The 19,691-nt window shown below is 38.1% G+C and overlaps 1 protein-coding gene across 2 annotated transcripts in view; it reads left to right on the forward strand.

Annotated features, from left to right (window-relative positions):
- Positions 1 to 15,937, forward strand: part of ZC3H6 (zinc finger CCCH-type containing 6) — a 64,463-nt gene extending 48,526 nt beyond the window's left edge. Inside the window, exons 10-13 of one of the 2 annotated variants that reach the window (XM_006712519.4) lie at positions 30 to 541; positions 842 to 1,075; positions 6,883 to 8,160; positions 9,855 to 15,937. In XM_006712519.4, coding sequence (XP_006712582.1) covers positions 30 to 541; positions 842 to 1,075; positions 6,883 to 8,160; positions 9,855 to 9,865 — 2,035 coding nt within the window. In that variant the 3' untranslated portion in view covers positions 9,866 to 15,937. Of the gene's footprint in view, positions 1 to 29; positions 542 to 841; positions 1,076 to 6,882 lie in introns of both variants that reach the window. The other variant, NM_198581.3, reaches the window with a different exon arrangement.
- Positions 15,938 to 19,691: the final 3,754 nt, after the last annotated feature.

Raw genomic sequence — 19,691 nt, forward strand, 5'->3', positions numbered from 1 at the left:
CTAAGAAATATTATTATTTCTGTCTACAGGCCACCAGCATTTTATACCAGTGCCTCACCACCAGGACCACAATTTCAGGGAAGCAGTCCACACCCTCAACATATCTATAGTTCTGGGTCAAGTCCAGGTCCTGGACCTAACATGTCTCAGGGACACAGTAGTCCTGTGATGCACCCAGGCTCCCCTGGACATCACCCATGTGCAGGACCTCCTGGTCTACCAGTGCCACAGAGCCCACCTTTACCACCTGGTCCACCTGAAATTGTAGGTCCTCAAAATCAAGCTGGAGTGCTTGTTCAACCAGACACATCTTTGACACCACCAAGTATGGGTGGGGCTTACCACTCCCCAGGCTTTCCAGGACATGTGATGAAAGTACCCAGAGAGAATCACTGTTCTCCAGGTTCATCATACCAGCAAAGTCCTGGTGAAATGCAGCTCAACACCAATTATGAGTCCCTGCAAAACCCAGCTGAGTTTTACGATAATTACTATGCACAGCATTCTATACATAATTTTCAGCCACCCAATAACTCTGGTGGTAAGTTTACTTTTTTGAAATAATTTATTCCTAATTTAAAATACAGTCCTATTTTTCATTAAAAGCATGACAGAAACGTAAGTTTTAAGTAAAGCTGAGTAAAATTGATAAGATTGAAACCTTAAAATGTTTTCAGTTTGCCAAACTTTTGAAACAATAGAATTTTAGATAACTTTTAGAAATATTTTAAATGATATAATTTGATAATCCAGTGTGCCTGTGATGAAAGCTTTCATTTCTTATGACTGGTGAAGTTTTGTGCTCACTCAATGACTGTCTCTCCCCATGTTATACATGTAGATGGGATGTGGCATGGTGAATTTGCCCAGCAGCAGCCTCCTGTTGTTCAAGACTCACCTAACCATGGGAGTGGGTCTGATGGCAGCAGCACTAGGACAGGCCATGGCCCTCTGCCTGTACCAGGCCTCCTCCCTGCAGTGCAAAGAGCTCTTTTTGTAAGACTTACTCAGAGATACCAAGAAGATGAAGAACAAACCAGCACCCAACCTCATAGGGCACCAAGCAAGGAAGAAGGTGTGTCAGAAGTTATTAATAGCATCTTACCTATTTGGATGGGTTAAAATTTTTAAATGGCCGAGGCAGGTGAATCACCTGAGGTCAGGAGTTCGAGACCAACCTGGCCAACATGGTGAAACCCCATCTCTACTAAAAATGCAAAAATTAGGTGGTCGTGTTGGCATGTGCCTGTAGTACCAGCTACTCTGGAGCTTGAGGCAGGAGAATCGCTTCAACTTGGGAGGCAGAGGTTGCAGTGAGACTAGGCAACAGAGTGAGACTCAGTCTCAAAAAAAAAAGGATTAAAAATGAGCTCTGTCTTCTATTTCCAATGTATTTCATAGCCACTATCTTGTGATTGATTGTGGTTTCAGTGCCATTAATTGCATTAATACTTAATTGCTAAAGGTTTGACTTGAAGCAGTGAAAAGATCTGAAGCTAGAGTTCAAGGTTGTGCAGACTTGCAAGTAATTAAGCCTTTTGCTTTTTTTTTCTGAAGAAAATAAATAGAACAGGAAAAGGACAACTTTCAGTTTAAGGATTTTGAATTCTAGCCCAATTTCAAAATGATTCAGTTATTAGAGATATTTTTATGTCATAGGCTCTATAATTAAGGATCTGCTATAATAAGAAATATTTTTAAATATAAAAAGATTATATGGAAACTAAGTTTATCTTAGTATTTTTGATACTGGTAAGTATACAACAGTTAGTTAATTCAGTAAAGGATGAGAAAAGTTTAAAGCATCCAGTTCTGTTTATGAATTACAAAACTGATGTTTGGCCACTCTTAAACATGACATTTATGAAAAACTATGTAAAACTATGTAACGCTAGGTAGCTGCAAGCTATTATATGAGCATTTAAAATATATATATTTATAATTTTTAAATTATTTTTGTGGGTACGTAGTAGGTATATATATTTATGGAGTACATGAGGTATTTTGATAGAGGCATGCAATGCATAATAATCACATCAGGGTAAATAGAGTATCCACCACCTTAAGCATTTATCCTCTGTGTTACAAACAATCCAGGTATACTCTTTTAGTTTTTTTTTAAATGTACAATTAAATTATTATTGACTATAGTCACCCTGTTGTGCTATCAAATACTAGGTCTTATTCATTCTTTTAAACTTTTGGTACCCATTAACCGTCCCCACTTCCTCCCTATCTGCCAGCTACCCTTCCCAGTCTCTGGTAACCATCCTTCTACTCTCTATGTCCATGAGTTCAATTGTTTTAATTTTTAGCTCCCACAAATAAGTGAGAATATGAGAAGTTTGTCTTTCTGTGCCTGGCTTATTTCACTTAACATAATGACCTCCAGTTCCCTGTTGTTGCAAATGACAGGATCTCATTCTTCTTATGGCTGAATAGTACTCCATTGTGTATATATGCCACATTTTCTTTATCCATTGTCTGTTTTTTGTTTTGTTTTGTTTTAAGACAGAGTCTCACTCTGTTACCCAGGCTGGGATTCAGTGACACGATCTCGGCTCACTGCAACCTCTCCCTCCCAGGTTCAAGCAATTCTCGTGCCTCTGCCTCCCGAGTAGCTGGGATTACAGGTGTGCACCACCATGCCCAGCTAATTTTTATATTTTTAGTAGAGATGGGGTTTCACTGTGTTGGCCACGCTTGTCACGAACTCCTGACCTCAGGTGATCTGCCCGCCTCGGCCTCCCAAAGTGCTGGGATTACAGGTGTGCGCCACCGTGCCTGGCCATTGTCTGTTGGTGGACACTTAGGTTGCTTCCAAATCTTGGTTATTGTGAATAATGCTGCAGTAAATGTGAGAGTACAGATATCTCTTTGATATACTGATTTCCTGTCTTTTGGGTATATACCTGGCAGTGGGATTGCTGGATCAGATGGTAACTTTATTTTTAGTTTTTTGAGGAACTTTCAAACTGTTCTTCATAGTGGTCGTACTAATTTACTTTCCCACCAACGGTGTATGAAGGTTCTCTTTCCTCCACATCCTTGCCTGCATTTGTTATTTCCTGTCTTTTGGATAAGACCCATTTTAACTGGGGTGAGATGATATCTTACTGTAGTTTTGATTTGCATTTTTCTGATGATGAGTGATGTTGTGCACCTTTTCATATCCCTGTGTGCCATTTTTATGTCTTCTTTTGAGAAATGTCTATTCAGATATTTCGCCCATTTTTAAATTGGATTATTGATTTTTTCCTATAGAGTTGTTTGAGCTCCTTATATATTCTAGTTATTAATCCCTTCTCAGATAGGTAGTTTGCAGATATTTTCTCCCATTCTGTGGATTGTCTCATCATTTGTTTCCTTCACAATGCAGCTTTTTAACTTGATGTGATCCCATTTGTCCATTTTTGCTTGGTTGCCTACGCTTGTGAGGTATTACTTAAGAAATCTTTGCCCAGACCAGTGACCTGGAGAGTTTACCCAATGTTTTCTGGTAGCAGTTTCATAGTTTGAGGTCTTAGATTTAAGTATTTAATCCATTTTGATTTGATTTTTGTGTATGGTGAGAGATAGGGGTCTAGTTTTACTCTTCTGCATATGGATATCCAGTTTTTCCCAGCACCATTTATTGACGAGATTGTCCTTTCCCCGATGTATGTTTTTAGCACCTTTGTCAAAATGGGTTCACTGTAGATGTATGGGTTTCTTTCTGGGTTCTCTGTTCTGTTCCATTGGTCTATGTGTCTGTTTTTTGTTAGTTCATTTTTTTGTTTTTGTTTTTGTTTTTTCTTAAGACAGGGTGTCACTCTGTTGTACAGTGGTGCGATCTCGGCTCACCACAACCTCTGCCTCCTAGGTTCATGCCATTCTCCTGCCTCAGCCTCCCAAGTAGGTGGGACTACAGATGTGCGCCACCATGCACAGATAATTTTTTTGTATTTTTAGTAGAGACACGGTTTTACCACGTTGGCCAGGTTGGTCTCAAATGCCTGGCCTCAAGTGATCTGCCTGCGTTGGCCTCCCAAAGTGCTGGGATTACAGGTGTGAGCCACTGTGCCCAGCTTATGTGTCTGTTTTTATGGAGGTACCATGCTGTTTTGATTACTATAGCTCTCTAGTATAATTTGACCAGGTAATGTGATTCCTCTAGTTTTGTTCTTTTTGCTCAGGATAGGTTTGGCTATTCTGAGTCCTTTGTGGTTCCATATAAATTTTAGGATAGTTTTTTCTATATCTGTGAAGAACACTATTGGTATTTTGATTGGAACTGCATTGAATCTGTAGATTGCTTTGGGTAGTATGGACATTTTAACAATATTGATTCTTCCAATCCATGAACATGGAATATCTTTCCAATTTTTGGTGTCCTCTTCAGTTTCTTGCATCAATGTAAGTGAACATTTTTTGTTACATTTTCAAAGAAGATATTATTAATTCTTCATTTACCTAACATCACAGGAGAATGAAGGATTCCTAATAAGTGAATTTCCTGTACAATTTCAATTATAAGCATTTTAATAGCAATCTTTCAGCCGGGCGCAGTGGCTCACGCCTGTAATCCCAGCACTTTGGGAGGCCAAGGCGGGTAGATCACGAGGTCAAGAGATCGAGACCATCCTGGCCAACATGGTGAAACCTTGTCTCTACTAAAAATGTAAAAATTAGCTGGGCATGTTAGTGCATGTCTGTAGTCCCAGCTACTCAGAAGGCTGAGGCAGGAGAATCGCTTGAACCCAGGAGGCGGAGGTTGCAGTGAGCCGAGATCATGCCATTGCACTCCAGCCTGGGTAACAGAGCGAGACTCTGTCTCAAAAAAAAAAAAAAAAAGTAATCTTTCGATAGTCTTAAAAGTTTTATGTTTTCATAAACAAAGATATTAAAACTTTTAGATAATAGAAAATTTTATTCTATAATGTTATATAATTGGTAGTGTTCTATGGGAGTTGTTGGCTCTGATACAGAAATATTTTGAACAGCTAGGTTTACTTGTGTTTGTGTTAATTTTTATGGATTTTAATGCTTTTATGCATTTTATCTCTGCTTTGATAAAAGCTGCTAATTATCATTTTTTATCTAATATCTGTTTTCCACCAGCCTGTCTCTATTCTTCTACTCTCCCTCTGTTACTATTTTCACTCTCATTTAAGAAAGATTTTAAGTATGCTTTATAAATCATGAAATATATATATAATGCTTATAAAATATATTGATATGGGAATGAAAAGAAAGTAAGGATAGAAGTAACAAATACTATGAGGAGTGAAATTACTATACAGAAATATTTAAAGTAATTGCAGCAGGTAAAAGTGAATCACAAATCCATCTGTAGATTTCCTTGATGTCAAAGAGAAGAAAAGAGATCTAGTGTCTAGAAGTAGTTTTTTCAGATATTGAGATCTGAGTAAAACTTTTTGCAATTGTGACATACCATATGCTGTTTTAATCCACATTCTACCCTAAATACCAATGCTTGTTTTGTAAGCACTGCTTTGTTCAAACTAACCCTGTAACACTAAAGTTCCATGTAGTAGGCATGCATTAGTGAGCAGTGAGATGAGGTAAAAATGAGAATATCTAGGATAGTCTGCTGATCCAAGATACTCCAGGATGGAGATACATATATGCATATACAGTATATCTATACATCTGTATTCCATGTTCTGACTCTTACGTTCTGGCAAGAATGTGAACAGTAGATACCTTGTGGCCAATTCAGAGCCAACCTGTGTATATTTTAATGGAGAGGAGGGAGAATCACCCTTCTGAAACATCAGTTTGTAATTCCTTCTGCTAGAGAAAAGACTTACGATAGGTAGGCTTCTTTAGGTAGGCTTCTTAAACTTGCATCTAATATGCTAGAGTTAAATAGGCTTTAAGAGTAAGACTCAAAGTGTTCTCATAAAGTATGTAAGTTTTAGGATGGTAGGTTTTTTTTTTTTTTTGAGATGGAGTCTTGCTCTGTCGCCCAGGCTGGAGTGCAGTGGCTAGATCTCAGCTCACTGCGAGCTCCGCCTCCCAGGTTCACGCCATTCTCCTGCCTCAGCCTCCTGAGTAGCTGGGACTACATGTGCCCGCCACCGTGCACGGCTAATTTTTTTGTATTTTTAGTAGAGACGGGGTTTCACCGAGTTAGCCAGGATGGTCTCGATCTCATGACCTCGTGATCCGCCCACCTCGGCCTCCCAAAGTGCTGGAATTACAGGTGTGAGCCACCACGCCCAGCCAGTTTTGTTATTTTTAAAGTTAATGTTTGAATAGCTAATATAGTCACACAGGTCAAATATCTAAACATATAATAAAGAGTAAATGAAAAGTCTCTACCCCATTCCTCATTTGCTCAGTTTCCATTGCTACCTTAACCATCACTTTCAGTGTTTTGTTTTCTTTTTAGTCCATTGTTAACTTGATAAATTCAGAGCTAGGAAGCTTAAGGAATGCTTGATTTGAAGAGACCTAGCATATTTTAGAATGCTAACAGCATTTTCCTTTCTCCTACAGCCCACCACACATACAACACACATATCTGAATTCCCTTTGGCCAGTTGGAAGGAAAGGTCCTGCCTTTTCTCTGACTGGAAGGACATTACACATATTCTAGTATCACCCCACTTCCTTAATAGAGTATAATGACTGAATCGATAGTTTTCTTACCACATCTTATTTTGTTCCAGTATTGAAATCTGGCATTTTTGTTATGCATTTTCTTGAAGTTAGATTATACTTATTTCAGAAATAGTATGTGTTTTTTAATATTAATTAAGGCTACATATAAATGTAGCCATATTATAAAGAATAATTTATAATTATAATATAATAATTTTATTATATTATAAGTTTATAATATAAAGTTTATAATAAGTTTTTGTCTGCATTTAGATGATACAGTTAACTGGTATTCCAGTAGTGAAGAGGAAGAAGGAAGCAGTGTCAAATCAATACTGAAAACATTACAGAAACAAACAGAAACTTTAAGGAATCAGCAACAACCTTCCACAGAACTCAGCACTCCTACTGATCCAAGACTTGCTAAAGAGAAAAGTAAAGGAAACCAAGTGGTTGACCCTAGGCTTAGGACTATCCCAAGGCAAGACATTAGAAAGCCTTCTGAGTCTGCCCCACTGGATCTTAGACTTGCGTGGGATCCCAGGAAATTGAGAGGGAATGGAAGTGGTCACATAGGCTCTTCTGTTGGTGGAGCAAAGTTTGATTTGCATCATGCAAATGCTGGCACTAATGTCAAACACAAAAGAGGCGATGATGATGATGAAGATACAGAAAGAGAACTGAGAGAAAAAGCTTTCTTAATACCTTTGGATGCCTCACCTGGCATAATGCTCCAGGATCCAAGGTCACAATTGAGACAGTTCAGTCACATTAAAATGGACATTACTCTAACCAAACCCAACTTTGCAAAACACATCGTGTGGGCTCCCGAAGACTTACTTCCAGTACCTTTACCTAAACCTGATCCAGTGTCTTCAATCAATTTACCTCTGCCCCCACTTATAGCTGACCAGAGGCTAAATAGATTATGGAATACAAAAAGTGATCTTCATCAAAATACAGTGTCCATTGATCCAAAATTAGCAGCCAAAGCCAAAATTAACACAACAAACAGAGAAGGCTACCTAGAACAATTTGGAGACTCACACGGTTCAGGAGCTAAATTAGGAGATCCTAGACTACAAAAAAATTTTGATCCTAGGCTTCACAGACTGCCCAATACAGAGTCTCATCAAGTGGTTATGAAGGATTCACATGCATCAAAGGGTGCCCCTCACTTACCCAGATCAAACCCTGGTTCATCACAGCCCTCAGGGGCAGGAACTAGCAATTCTGGTTCCGGGGCTCTGCCTCCATATGCCCCTAAACTCTCTTCCTCAGCTGGCCTTCCACTGGGAACTTCCACTTCAGTTCTTAGTGGTATTAGTTTGTATGACCCTAGGGATCACGGTTCATCATCCACATCAGAGCTAGCAACAGCTTCTTCAGGAGAAAACTCAAAGAACCAGAAAAAAAGTGGTGGCTTAAAAAGTAGTGACAAAACTGAACCTTCTCCTGGAGAAGCCATCCTTCCACAAAAACCCAGTCCAAACGTGGGAGTCACTCTTGAGGGGCCAGCTGACCCACAGGCGGACGTTCCCAGGAGTTCTGGTAAGGTTCAGGTCCCAGCAGTGCACAGCCTTCCTGTTCAGGCATTAACAGGCTTAATTAGGCCACAGTACAGTGATCCAAGGCAGGCAAGGCAGCCAGGACAGGGGAGCCCGACCCCAGATAATGATCCCGGTAGAGAAACAGATGACAAATCTCTGAAAGAGGTTTTTAAAACTTTTGATCCAACTGCTTCACCATTTTGTTAGCTATTGTGTAACTGAGCAATTCTTTTCACTCTTGTGACTATCTCAGTCCTCTGCTGTTTTGTAACTGGTTTACCTCTATAGTTTATTTATTTTTAAATTATAAACACTTTTCAGCTGCTAGTATCAGAACCACATGAAGTTATAGCCTCTAAAGCCTGTGGTATTTTATATAATATTTTTATAACTTTAAGAGACTGTAGTAATTGACCTAAAAACTTATGTTAGCTTCAGTAAAAGTACTTTTATTGTAAATAAACAATCATGAACTCAACACTCTGCCTGAATATATGCCAGTTGTCTTTCATAATCAATGTTTAGATAAATGATTGCCACTTTTTATATGGTTGTTTAGTTTCAAGCAATATGATGTACATTACTTTTGAGAAACAGTATTTTGACTAGGACCTCTCTTATTTGTCAGCACAGAACTGATTAATATGTAATGCTACCTGCTAATTAAAATGTAAAATCAAGTAAAGAAAACATTTTAAAATTACAATTAGCAGAGCAGTTCATGTTTAAGGGCATCACTTTTATTAGTATTGGCAATATTATTTGTGTAAATGAAGCATTTGAATGTCATATCTTTTTAAAGTATTTTATTGTATACTGTATCATAGAAGTTGGAGGTATATAAATAGAACATTTTGCTAAAGTGAAAAATTTCCAAGTTCTCTAGCATAACTTTTTACATTTAATTTTTCATATGAAATAGCAATTAGTTACTGCTGTGTTACATTGTGATGTTTATGTATGTCAATGTTTTTGTCTTTAACAGCATAATTTATATTGCTTTTTCAAATGATGTAGCTGCATTAATTGTGTTCATCATGACTTTGGCGATTTTTAACAAAATTTTTAAAGACCCAGTGAGAGTCTGTAGTGATTATTACACGGATAATGTTTTAAATGTCTAGGTTCTGTATTTTTTTCTTAAATAGCAAGAAAATACAGATTGCTAGTATAGTCAACAGTATTTGGCTATCAATAAAGAATCTCTTTAAGATCTCACCCGGCTGGCATTCTGTAACAGAGGGGATTACCTGGTGTTTTAAGTATTTAATGTCCTCATAGTGTGGAAATCCCCTAAATTGATTAGAAATTGTATTTTATGAAAAATAACTTGTATTCATTCTTGTGTATTTATTACAATATATAAATAATGGCAACTCTTTGTTTTATACATATATAATTTATAACTGAATCTAAGTATTAGACTGCTACTCATATTTTGAACTGCAGGTGTAGGACAGTGTTTGCTGGTAACAACTCCAATGTGTATTAATAACTTGAAAAGGAGCATTTCACTATAAAAGATAATGAAGTAGGTAATGAAATCAGTCCTTGAATGAAAGCAGTGCCCTTGAGAAGGGATTTTTTTTTAAATATACAGTAAAATATTTCGTGGGAACCTAACACTCACATAGCATATGGTTTATTAATAATGCATATCCTTTCTAATCACTTCTTCAATTCTTTTTGCTGCAGTTCTGTGCTAAAATGGGGTTGTGGTTAAGTGAACGAGAACTCTGCCTACCTAAGAAGTTCATTGTGTTCTAAGTGGAAGGAGAGTTACTGAAGGGAATGTGAATTTTTACCGTTTGTACTTAAGATACATTTGTTGTCTAAAATGGCTCTGGATAACATTTTTGGGTTAAAAAATGTAATTTAAAGCCACCATAGAAAGTATTTTCTGATTTACTGTCCAAATGAATTTTGTTGTTAATTGAGAAGTCAATAAAATGGATTAAACTGACAGAAAAAAAACATATATATATATCCCAAGGTGTAATTTACTCTTTTGTCAGGATAAAATCAGAAAAATGGCTGATTTTAGTAAATGAAATTTTTAGCAAATCTTTCATTCATGTAGTTTATAATTATTGTGTCAAGCAGTGCTGTTTACATTTTAAGCATCATACAAAAAAGATAATTTGGCTTGCTAAACATCAAAATAGAATCCAAACTCTTAACCGAATATCTTTTTTACAACTAAAAGAGATATTCCAAGATTTATTAAAGAGTCAGGTTTAAAAGTTATTAATGCAAATTATGTAATGTTCATTTATTCAGTATTCTTGAGTCCCTGTTACCTCAATTGGTGTTCTAGAGGCTATTTTACAAGAAAGTTTGAACTTAGTTTCAAATTTGACAATATATTTTATATGAAAATGTTTATGTTTAAAATAACTTATTTATTATGCAGCATTTTTATTGTGATAACGTTAGTTTATGGGATATTCTGTCATATCCTGTAAACATAGTTTATTTTTCTTCTTTTTTCCCATTTTCTCATACAAATTGAATAAGTAGCCATTTTCCCCCAATGAATACCTCTTCTTTTAGGTCAATTGGTGTTTTTAGAATCCATGTAATTTGATTTGCACTGTTAGATTGAAAAGTAAGTTACGTTCCTGTTCTTAGAAGCCACACATTTAGAGATAACAGAAATAACTTGAGTCTTAAGAGTATGGATAGGCTCATCCAATGAGATGTAACTTAGCTATTCATACTGTTTGTGATGGAAATTCTATACCTGTTTACTGTGATGATGAATACAGTGGATATAGCAGGGGGTTGAAATGGAACACACAGAAGATCATGACAATTGAGATTCAGCAACTGCTGTCTCATATCTTGGTTAAGACCTCATTGTGAACCTTGAACACAAATCAGATGTTGGAGTGATTTCAAACTCTATTTCAACAATTGGGTCTGTTTCTATATGGACCCTCTATTTCCCAGCTGAATGTTTCAAACCCCCAAATTAGGCTGCAACCGAAAGAGCCTAATTGTGAAATGATGTGCGCTTATGTTTCTGTTTATCCTTTAGCCATGGAACTTTAAAGAGTAGTGTTCCTCCTACTTACTTTAAGCTGGAAGAAGAGTTGAGTAGTAAATCCTGTGTGAACTTTTAGCTCAGCTACTCTGCTGAATTAATTAGAGGTAGGAAGGACTTACAAGGGCTGGAAGTTTAAAGAGAATAAATTCATATTTTTTGTTCTGAATTGATTTCTGTGTAATTTATATCAGTATCTAGTTGCTTATCTGTGAAATTGGGTTAATTTTTATTGATCACATTTGATGTAAAGAATGAATTATTTTTGTAAAGTATTTGTAAATATAAAATTGCTTTATAACTTGAATGAACATAATCATTATGCTCCCATTAGGGTGCATTAAGTTGTACAAATTCCAAAATAACATGGTATGGTTTGTATGGTTTAGCAATTTTACGAAGCTTCAGATGACATGCACTGGTGACACAACAGTAGAATTTCCTGAGAGGTTGAGTGAATATTAACCCATCAAGTTAGCAATTTCCTTAACTACATGAGTATCAGGAAGACAGGACTTCCCTGCCTTAGAGCTATATAGACTTGGGCCTCTTCAAGATCTGACTTCTCTGCACATTCTATACAGGTTGGATATTGATGGAGGGTTAAAAATGCTATGACAGTTCATGGTGCATGGTGTGTTTGTTTAAATCATAGCATGTTTAGGCAAAGTGGCCAGCTCATTCAATATAAGAGCCACCAGCTCTTAGAAACAACAGATATATTCACACCCAGTCTGTAATATGTATTTCTTCAGGCATGTCACACTGCGGTCTTCCTGAAAGACTACTTACTTCATAAAGGTATTATGTTTCTTTAATTAATGGCCACTAGAAGTTAGGAAGCTCCTAGGGACCAGGATATGAGATCTTAAAGAGGCTGTCAGAATCTCTTCATTTGCATGACATAGAATCTGTGGTGGAGATGTTTTCCCTGATGTTTTTGGAGGGTTGGACTGTGTTGAAGGCTGTACCTTGGTGGGGGTGGTCTGCAGTCATGCAGTCCACTGATAGGGTCCCCCACCCCGCAAGCTTCAATAATTGAGCTTTCTGTTAATTTCTTGAATTATCTTTTCAAAAATGGTTTGGCAGCACTTGATGACATTATGTTCAAAATTAAGTCCAGTAAAATATATAAGCATTTGTAAACTATAATTATAGTTTAAATAAGACTTAGTTTAGGAAATCCAAGTTTTGACATATATAACCAAACGGCCTAAGAGTTCAAAGCTATTTTCTTAGGTGTTACACCTTAGCATTTACATAATGCCTTCTCCCCAAGCAGTTTCATGTGGTTTGCAGAAAGTTTTGGCAGCTACCAGTCACTATATTGCTGGAGTTTTGTGTTTGAGTATGTCATTTATGTCATTTATCAGCAGTATCTGCCAGTTGTGACAAAGCCCTCCCTATTATCCTGCCTTTCCTGGAAAGGATACAGACCCAAGAAAAGTTAACATCTACATAGTACTTAGAATTTCTAATTTTAAAATAAGAAACAAAAAGCACATTTAAAATAATATTTTATGCTTTTGGAGACAGGACCCACATGTATCTCCTTATTTTTATACTTGCCATAGAAACAAGCCTAGTTGTAGGCCTACAGTGGGTGCTTTGTTAACTGCTTGTTGATGGCTTCCTGACATCCATCCAAATGTCACTTTTACAGATGCTGTCACCCGTTAAACAGGTGTGGCAGAAGTATTCCATGACTGCATTAGGAAGAATGCACCTTATGGGTTATATCTCTTTTGGTAGACAGCCCACCTGCTCTTTTTTGTCCCCACCCTCAGCCCAAGCAATGTGAAGACAGATTATGGCAACTTAGGAGCTCCATGTTTCCATAATAATTCATAACTTTAAGAGTCCTCCAGACTTACAAGATTACTTCATGGTGAAAGTTTGGATTGATCAATAATTTATTCCTATAAAGGTCTGCAGGATTTTTTCTGTAACCAGAAAAGTAACTGCATAGCCATTCTTTTTTTTTTTTTTTAATTTGTTGTTGTTTTTGTTTGAGACAGAGTCTTCATTCTTGTTGCCCAGGCTGGAGTGTAATGGTGCAATCTCGGATCACTGCAACCTCTGCCTCCCAGGTTCAAGTGATTCTCCTGCCTCAGACTCCCAAGTAGCTGGGCTTACAGGCACGTGCCACCACACCCAGCTAATTTATTGTATTTACTAGAGACGGGGTTTCACCATGTTGATCAGGCTGATCTTGAACTCCTGACCCCAGGTGATCCACCCGCCTCAACCTCCAAAAGTGTTGGGGTTACAGGCGTGAGCCACCGTGCTCAGCCTGTTTTTTATTTATTTTTTTGAGACAGTCTCACTTTGTCGCTCAGGCTGAAGTGCAGTGGCGCTATCAGCTCACAGCAGCCTCCGCCTCCCAGGTTCAAGCAATTCTCCCACCTTAGCTTCCTGAGTAGCTGGAACTACAGGTGTGTGCCACCACACCCAGCTAATTTTTGTATTTTTTTGGTAGAGACAGGGTTTGACCATGTTGGCCAAGCTGATCTTGAACTCCTGGCCTCAAGTGATCCACCAGTCTTGGCCTCTCAAAGTGCTGGGATCACAGGCATGAGCCACCACGCCTGGCCCAGTCTTTTTTTTTAATTATTATTTATTTTTATTTATTTATTTTTTGAGACGGAGTCTTGCTCTGTTGCCCAGGCTGGAGTGTAGTGGCATGATCTTGGCTCACTGCAACCTCTGCCTCTGGGTTCAAGCAATTCTCCTGCCTCAGCCTTCTGAGTAGCTGGGATTATAGGCATGCGCCACCACAACCAGCTAATTTTTTATATTTTTGGTAGAGACACAGTTTCATCATGTTGGCCCGGCTGGTCTCAAACTCCTTACCTCAAGTGATCTGCCCGCCTCAGCCTCCCAAAGTGCTGGGATTACAGGCGTGAGCCACTGTGCCTGGCCAGTCTTTTATTTTAAAATAAATACTTAGTCCTAACCTAGTGAATTATCAATAGCATTTAAAATTCCTTCTATCCTGATACCATGAACAGTAATTTTCCCTTTTAAGTTATGATTTGACTCTAATTTTGGGTCTTGTATCTGGTCTTTAAACACCTTTCGTTACCCTTTGGAATAGAACAATCATGCTACTGTTAGCAAAATTATTGTAGGCATAAGGAAGAGCTGTGAGTTCAAAGAAGATTGTGAGTTCTTGGAATAGTATTTTACAGCGTTGTTTATTCTTGACCTTCTTGTTTTTTAAGCTTAGAGTTTATAAGAAAAAAGTGAATATATAGCTAATTATAGCATTTTAGAAAAAATTAGCTCTGCAGATAGTCAGGCCCCATACTTCTTGGCTCATTACTGATTTTAATACCTTCATGAGAGTATTAAGGTTGAAAGGAATGGTGAAATTTGCATTATCAGAGGTCTGATATGTAATTTATTGTAAAGAAATTAAATATATAGAGGCTCAATTAAAAAATAACCATATTCTCAAACCTCCATTACCACTAATATCTTGGGGTTGTCAATGATAGACTATATATATATGTATGTATATGTGTGTATATATATATATATATATATATATATATATATATATATATATATATATATATATATAATTTTTTTTTTTTGAGACGGAGTCTTGCTCTGTCACCCAGGCTGGAGTACAGCTCACAGCAACCTCTGCCTCCCAGGTTCAAGCAATTCTGCCTCAGCCTCCCGAGTAGCTGGAATTACAGACGCCTGCCACCACACCCAGCTAATTTTTCGTATTTTTTAGTAGAGATGGGGTTTCACCATGTTGGCCAGGCTGATTTCGAACTCCTGACCTCAAATGATCCACCGACCTGAGCCTCCCAAAGTGCTGGCCTTACAGGCATGAGCCACCACACCTGGCCTAGACTATACCTTTTATACACTTTTTAAATAGAGAAAGTGAAAAATGATAAACTAACCATTATAAAATAGAGGTTTGAGTCCACCTGTATTTTACAGAAATTTGCCCTCAAATGTTTGAGAGGGAAGTCACATATGATAGAAAAATATCTTTTCAAGGGTAGAATGATATTTCCTTATAAAAGTGACAATCAAAAAAGACTCATTTGTATACTTGCCAAAGTTTAAAAGTTTTTTACATTCCTTACCCTAAACCCACTGCCCCATCCACCCAGAATTCAGAAAGGGTTTGGCATAGATCCAGGGCTCCAGGGCCCAGGTCATTTTGTTATTAGTCTAGGGCTTTTGTCCTCCACAGTCTAGGCAGGGCATCTTTGTATGTGTGTTGCTGGTTGGGGCCAGGGACGGGGGCAGGCGGGAGTTGTCCAGGTTTAAGATTGTTTGTTTTCCATCAGATCCACAAGCAATATCTGTGGGCTGAAATCCAGGTTATACCTATTCACTATGACTTTTTTTTTTTTTAACTTTCTACTGTAATTATTTCAGTTCCCCGAAGTTGTATCTCAAATGTTGGGGAAATGCTGCCTTGACTATTTTACTTTGGAAGGTTTTACTAGATATCAGTTTAGTAGATTAATGACGTTGTTAATCTGTCTGCTCAAAAGACACCAGCAAGGGGGTATACTTTGCTGAACTGATAAATTATTCTATTAAGGACTAACCCAGTACTTGGCAAAATTAGGAATAACTTTTCCCCTCCTTCTTTACTAATAAATTTTCCAAGTTGCATACTGTTGTTGCAAGTTTCTGTAATTTTTTTCTGTATACCTTTCTATTGTCTGAATTTAAATAAAAATGTTTCTAATAATATCTGTCTGGCAGTGTGATGCTTTGCTTTAATAAATCTTCAGCATTTAAAGACAGAACATATGGGAACCATGTGCACATTTAAAAGCTTATAACTGGAACCCTCCCAGACTTTCCTGGAAAAAAAAGGGGGATAGCATTAAACTATTTGCCCTTCAATTTATCTTTAGTACACTGAAATTGTGCTTCGCTTATCTACATAGATGCTGTTAGCATTTAAAGCCCCATTTCCTGATATTACCTTCATTCCAGGAAACGTCTCTTACATTAGCTAAAGTTAATTTTCTGTTAGAAGATCTGAACCTAAGAAGTTGTTAGCAAATGTACTGCTTAATAGAGCACAAACTCTTTAGGATCAAAATGGGATCTCATTGCAGGAAAGGCTTTCAGAGAACTGGTCATGCTTCCCCCAAAGTCAGGAAATGTCATTAAAAGATGTTTTCTGGCTTCTGTTCTAACATGTTCAATGGTCAAGAACACACTGTCTTAAACACGGGAGCCTAGTAGGTTACTGGATGTAATTCCTGAGCAATTCTGTCAGAAGCTTATTCCTTAAGAGATAGCGTGGTCTGGACTTGGTACCCTCTCTTCTGAGCAATGTAATACTGGGCAAGTCAGGACTTCACTGAGCATTGCTTTCCTCATCTACAAAATGCAGATTTATTCATTCATTCATTTAAGAAAGATCGAGCACTTAGCATATGCTATTAGGTGTTGAGATACAGAGATGAGTAATAAGATGGATTGCTTTTTGAATATTGCTTACTGCAAAGTGAATGAAGTCACGTTGCTTTGTGGTGGATATCAAATGATCAAGCACACAAGGATACATTTTAGTAACTAAAGGGACCAAAAAAAGTATGGTGGATGTAGGGTTACATAATTTTTTTCAAATCAAACAATGCCCATCTCTGCCATCCTCACATTGGTGTTGGTTTCACCCCTTTGACTTCGTTTTCCACAGTGGCACATTAGTCTACCCAGCATTTTTGAGCCCCAAAGTATTTACAATAATTACGGTAAAGCCTCAATATATGCGAATTGGGTGATGGTGTGCTCGAGGGCTTATGTGCATCATCTTATCAAATCCATAGCTAGTATCCAGGACAGTCCAGTAAGGTGAGCCCTGGTTCCCATTTTAAAGATGGGCAAACAGCATCGTGAGGATACATAGCTTGCCTAAGATCATAACTGATGTGTGTGACAAAAGCTGGGATTTAAACACACCTGCCTGGGTCCAAACCAGTGTTGTTAACTACAACAACATGGCTGCTTTTCAATACTCAGAAAACAGCACAAACTCTTAGAATAGCGATTTCCAACTTTAGTTGCAACTCTCAAGACCTCATTCCATTGTCTGCAAGTGGCTTTTCGCAGGTGTTTATATTTATCATTAGCGCAAAATTAATTTGACTTTGCTAATTCAACAATAACTTCTCAAGTAATGGTGTTCTCAGGTTTTACAAAATGAGAACTAAGGTTGACCATTTTCAGTGGTCTCTCCAGGTTCTTTCCTGGGGCTTTAGAAGCACATTCTGCATTTTGCTGTAGTGATTGGCAGCTCAATACTTGAAAATAGGATCTGTCACCCTCACTCCTTCCACGTCTTCCATAAAGGGCCAGTTGGGATCACTCTTGGATGATTTAACAGATTCACTTTTGCCATCCAAAGACTGGGGTTTGACCCCTCCATATACAGCAAAACTTCATGTCCACTCAAGACATGGTATTTACAGCCAAAGAATAGTTTAATTTTATCTAGGGAATAATTAAAATCATAAAGGTCTTTTCTTTTTTAAGCCTTGAAAGGGACTTCGGGCTAGATGATCTCAAATCTCTCTCTTTATCTGATAACCGAAGGTTTAGAAATGATAAAGAGCTCAAGTTTATGCCAGTGGTTACAATTTTATTTAAGCTAAAGTAGGGGACCAGATGGAGTTAAATAAATATAGATCAGAAGTACATATTCATTAAACATTCACCATGAGATATACATGCAAGTCACTTTTTTTTTTACTACAATAAGTTATTAGAAACCCCATCAATAAAGTGCTCAATAAATATTTATTGACTGAAGAGATTAATTTCAATTTAGAAAAAGCTTTGGAAAGGTTAACATACTTGCAATTATTTTCTACTGTACATTAAGTACTTAATGAGTAAGAAAGAATGCTGATTGTTTTTTTTCCCTCAGGGGTTTCCAAGACAATAAATCAATCAGCTGCTGAAGTTGGAGTAATGACACATGGGCAATGTTGTCATATTAATGGCTTCCGAGAAAGCAAAAATACCTAAAACGTTCCTACAAAGCAAAGCAAAATTCCAATATGGAACACATTAGCCACAACCAAAGATTGCAAATGTCTCCACTGATCTTACAAGCATGCAATACAGCAGGTCTCTGGAGTAGCCTCAAAGTGTCTCTGATTATCCATGGAAGCACTTTTTTCCAAAAGTGAGCCAAGCCTCTCTCCATTCCTGATATCCACCTCCTACCCCTAAGTAGCATCAGAAAGTTTTTAAGGCCGGGCAAGGTGGCTCACGCCTGTAATCCCAGCACTTTGGGAGGCTGAGGCGGGTGGATCACGAGGTCAGGAGATTGAGAACATCCTGGCTAACATGGTGAAACCCCGTCTCCACTAAAAAATACAAAAAATTAGCTGGGCATGGTGGCGGGCGCCTGTATTCCCAGCTACTTGGGAGGCTGAGGCAGGAGAATGGCGTGAACCCAGGAGGTGGAGGTTGCAGTGAGCAGAGATCACGTCACTGCACTCCAGCCTGGGCGACAGAGCGAGACTCTATCTCAAAAAGAAAAAAAGAAAAAAAAAACAGTTTTAAAAATATTTTTTAAATTATTAATGGATTTTCACTTTTTTTTTGAGCTTGCCAAAGATTGCCTCATTGTCTTGTGACAATCATCCACCTGGGACAATGAGGTGAAGATAAGAGACTATTACAGTTTGTTACAAGGAATGCAAAGCAAATGAACAAAATATTCAGCTTTGACACTCGAAAACCAGACTTATCCTAGCCTGGCTTGAAACTTGAAATGATTGTCTAAATTCCTTTATACTCCTTTCAACATACCAATAACTAGAGTTTTACTAAAAGGAGGGCTAAACTACTGAGGAATGAGGTGGAGGATGGAGTCAGGGAAGAAAGTCTTTTTCTGTCTGTCCTTGGACAATTCCAAGAAAAAGAAGAAGAGAAAAGGGTTAGAGTGGGTTGACCAGATGTACATCCAGAATTGTTTCTTTGTAGGTGCTGGGAAGTGTCTGAGATTCTGGGAGGAGACTTCGTGCAAGGGTGCCATGGCTAATGTAGGGCAGCCAAGCTTAGGCAAGAGTGTTTGCTCAGGGTATCCTGATTCTCCTGGGGCACTCTCAGTTCCTGTGTAGTGTGGGTGCCCTTTGTGATAGGATGAGGTGACTACACAAGGGAGCGGTTCCCCAAGGGTCTTCAGCCATTAAGAGCTGAGGAGAAGCAGAGACAATGAGGGAAGCTGGTTGGTGCTCCCTGCAAGCACTCTCCAAGCAAAAAGAAAAGAAAAAAATCACCGTTTCCCCAGGTGTAGACACAGCATGAGAGGCCAGCAGCTGTTGTGATTAGTGACTAGTACAGTGATTATCAACCAGTCGTCACCCCAGGACCAGCACAAAGCCTACCCTACCCCAATGCCATAAAGGCATGAAAACCACTCCTGTCTTCTCCCTCATACCCAGATGCCATCTTAGGGACGGAGTAGATCATACTAA

The sequence above is a fragment of the Homo sapiens genome, chromosome 2 (assembly GCF_000001405.40).
Source record: "Homo sapiens chromosome 2, GRCh38.p14 Primary Assembly".
Taxonomy (NCBI): Eukaryota; Metazoa; Chordata; class Mammalia; order Primates; family Hominidae; genus Homo; species Homo sapiens.